At 37.8% G+C, this 3,247-nt stretch overlaps 1 annotated feature.

Annotated features, from left to right (window-relative positions):
* Positions 587-1,088: an enhancer, noted in NCBI's record as "NANOG hESC enhancer chr7:144782351-144782852 (GRCh37/hg19 assembly coordinates)". NCBI's record gives its function as "activates a minimal SCP1, AML or CMV promoter by ChIP-STARR-seq in primed H9 embryonic stem cells {active_cell/tissue: H9 hESC(primed)}" and the evidence as "EXISTENCE:reporter gene assay evidence [ECO:0000049][PMID:30033119]".

A 3,247-nucleotide genomic window follows, 5' to 3' on the forward strand; every position in this document is an offset into this window, starting at 1 on the left:
GCTTCCCTGCCCACTTCTGTTCAAAGAGCATGGTGAAACCAAATGTCTGGGAGAACAGAAGTTCTAAGCTTGGTACCAACAGCTTGAAATGTTTATTCTCAATAATGCTCTGGTAAGTCTCCTCAGCTTCATGTGGTTGCTATGCCCCGAGTAATTTGGGATCCCTGCCAACTTTAGGTTGGTTTAAATGAACAGGTTAGCATTGGCACTGGGGGACAGAATATCATTGAACATTTGTACTGTCAGCAAGGGTGTTAACTTAGTAAACATGTAGTACCTAAAGATGGAAAGCTTATGGTGCCACAGAACGAAACAATACATAGAAAATTATCAGGAATTGCTGAAGTATATAAATTTATGTATTTATATGTATGTCTGTCTACCTTCATCAGTATTGATATGGCTCCGATTAGTGGAGAAACATAAGGGCTCTTGTCTCATGCTGAATTAGGTAAAGCTACACGGACACATGTGGAGTGGTTTTAAGGAGTAGAGAGTTTAATAGGCAGGAAAGAAGGGAGAAGAAAGAAGGAAGAAGCTCCCCCATGCACAGACAGAGAGAGGGGGGCCCCAAAGCCGAGAGAGGAGACCCTGAGTCTGGCTGATACCAGCCAGTTATATGAAGAGGCTGGGTGAGGTGGTGTCTGATTTGCATAGGGCTCAGGGGATTGGCTTGACCAGGCATGTCATCCAGGTAGCGGCAAAAAAACTGGCCCTCCCACTCTAACCTTTCAATATGTGAATGCAGGACACCATAATGCTCTACACACATGGGGATATGTGGGGGTGGTTATGTTGCCCGGCACATGTGGGGGCAAGGGCAGGAAGAAGAGGGCAGGAATCGCCATGTTTGGGTGGACCCAATTTCTAATGGCCTGCATTTGCATGTCAAAGGTTGCCTGCTGGGCTGTAAGAGCTGGGGCTTTCCTGCTAGGCAAGAAATATTTCTGGAGCTGCTTTAAAAGAAACAACTTTCCCGCCGAGCGCGGTGGCTCACGCCTGTAATCCCAGCACTTTGGGAGGCCGAGGCGGGCGGATCACAAGGTCAGGAGACCGAGACCATCCTGGCTAACAAGGTGAAACCCCGTCTCTACTAAAAATACAAATAATTAGCCGGGCGTGGTGGCGGGCGCCTGTAGTCCCAGCTACTCAGGAGGCTGAGGCAGGAGAATGGCGTGAACCCGGGAGGCGGAGCTTGTGGTGAGCCCAGACCGCGCCACTGCACTCCGGCCTGGGCGACAGAGCGAGACTCCGTCTCAAAAATAAATAAATAAATAAATAAATAAATAAACTAACTAACAAACTAAGACCCTCATTCCAAAGGGGTCCTACCCTATACCTGGAAGAAAGAAAAGCTGCAATAGAAAAGCCAAGAAGACTCTGAACAGACAGGCCTTGCGAGGTTTCCCCTGTCTAGTACCATTAGCTCATACCCTTTTTTTGGCCAATCACATTTCTACATGACTATTTCTGCTTTGTCAAATCTAATCATAAAATCAGAGAGCTTCTCCTGTATTTTGGGGTCTCCATTCTGAAGGCTCCCATGTTATGAAAAACTACGGTCAAATTCATTTTTTATGCTTTTATCTTGTTAACTACCTGTCTTTTTTTATAGGGGTGTGGGTCGTGACCCTTATGATGGGAAGGAAAGAGATTGCCCCGTTTTCCTCCTTACAGTTACATGCAGCTGCATTCATTAGTTTTCACTGCTGTAGATTTCATTGTATGAATATACCACATTATATTTATCCATTTTACCGCTGATAGGCATTTGGGTTGTTTTAAGTTTTAGCTTATTATAAATTATGCTGCCATGAACATTGTCATACATGATTTTTGAGTGTATATGTGAATGTACTTCTATTAGGAATTACCTACAAACAAATGTGAAAATGCTGGATAATAAAAGGATTCATTTTTCCGTATTTGTAGATAATGCCAAGCAGCTATCCTAAGTTTTACATGAATTTACGCTATAGCCAACATTAAAAGAGTTCCTCATGTTTGCCAACTTAGTGATTCAATCAGAAATTTTAAAAGTTATTTTGTCGAGTGTATGTTGGTGTCATAAGAAACCCATAATTTGCATTTCCCAGATGACTGGACTATTTTCATAGTTTTTGGACATTTAAATATCACCTTTTGTTAATTTCCAGTATAAGTGGTTGGCCCATTTTTTATTAAGTCGTCTTTCTTTTTTCTTGCTTTATATATACTTGGATAAGAGCTTTTGTTGGTTACATGTCTTGTAAATATCTTCTCCTATGCTACAGTTATCATTATATTCTCTGATGATTTTTCATTAGTATAAGTTATTAGTTCATCAAACGTTTTCTCTACAGTTAATGTTCTTTGATTTTAAGAACTCCTGTCCTTTAGACCTGATGATATTTTATGTTATTATCTAAATGCTACATTCTAGAAGTTTTATTATCTTACCTTTTCTAATTAGAGTAATAAAAGTGAGCTGAAATTGATATCTGTGTATGGAAACTGCCTTCTTTTATAGTTTGATAAAATTTTCTTTTATTTTCCTTTTTAGTGTGAATACATGTTGAAATGTATCAAATATTTTTCTGCATTTATTGAGATGATCATATTTTTTCTTTTTTATTTTCATTATGTGACAGAATATGTTGAGTTTCTGTAATATTAAAACACCATTATATTACTGGAGTAACCCAACCTTAGTCATATGTAATATTTCTATATTGCTAGATTTGGTTTGCCAGTATTTTGCTTAATATTCCTATCTATGTTCAAGCCAGTTTTGGTGTCAATATTACACTGAATTCTTTAAATAAGTTAGAAAGTATTCCTCCTTTTTTCCTTCTTGGAAGAGTTTGTACAGGTGTTGAATTTGCCTCTTCCTGAATATTAGTAGAATTCACTGGTGAAATGAGAGTAGAATCTACTAGTGAAAGCATTTTGATCTGGAGTTTTTTTTTCTGGAAGTTTTATGGTTATGGATATTGAATCTGTGATTGTAAAAAACTTTAATAAATTGTTCAGATTTTCTGTTCATTTTTGTGGTAGTATTTGTACATTGTGTTTTCTTAGAATATTCCCATTTCATCTAAATTTTCAAATTTATTTGTATACAATTGATATAATATTTCATTATCTTTCTTTTTAATGCCTATAAACTCTGGTGATGTCTACATCTCAAATTTTTGTCATGTTTATTCTTTAAAGTCTTGCCAGAAATTTATAAATTTCTAAAGTCTTTTCAAAGTATCAACTGTTG

This window comes from Homo sapiens, chromosome 7 (assembly GCF_000001405.40).
Source record: "Homo sapiens chromosome 7, GRCh38.p14 Primary Assembly".
NCBI classification, from domain to species: domain Eukaryota; kingdom Metazoa; phylum Chordata; class Mammalia; order Primates; family Hominidae; genus Homo; species Homo sapiens.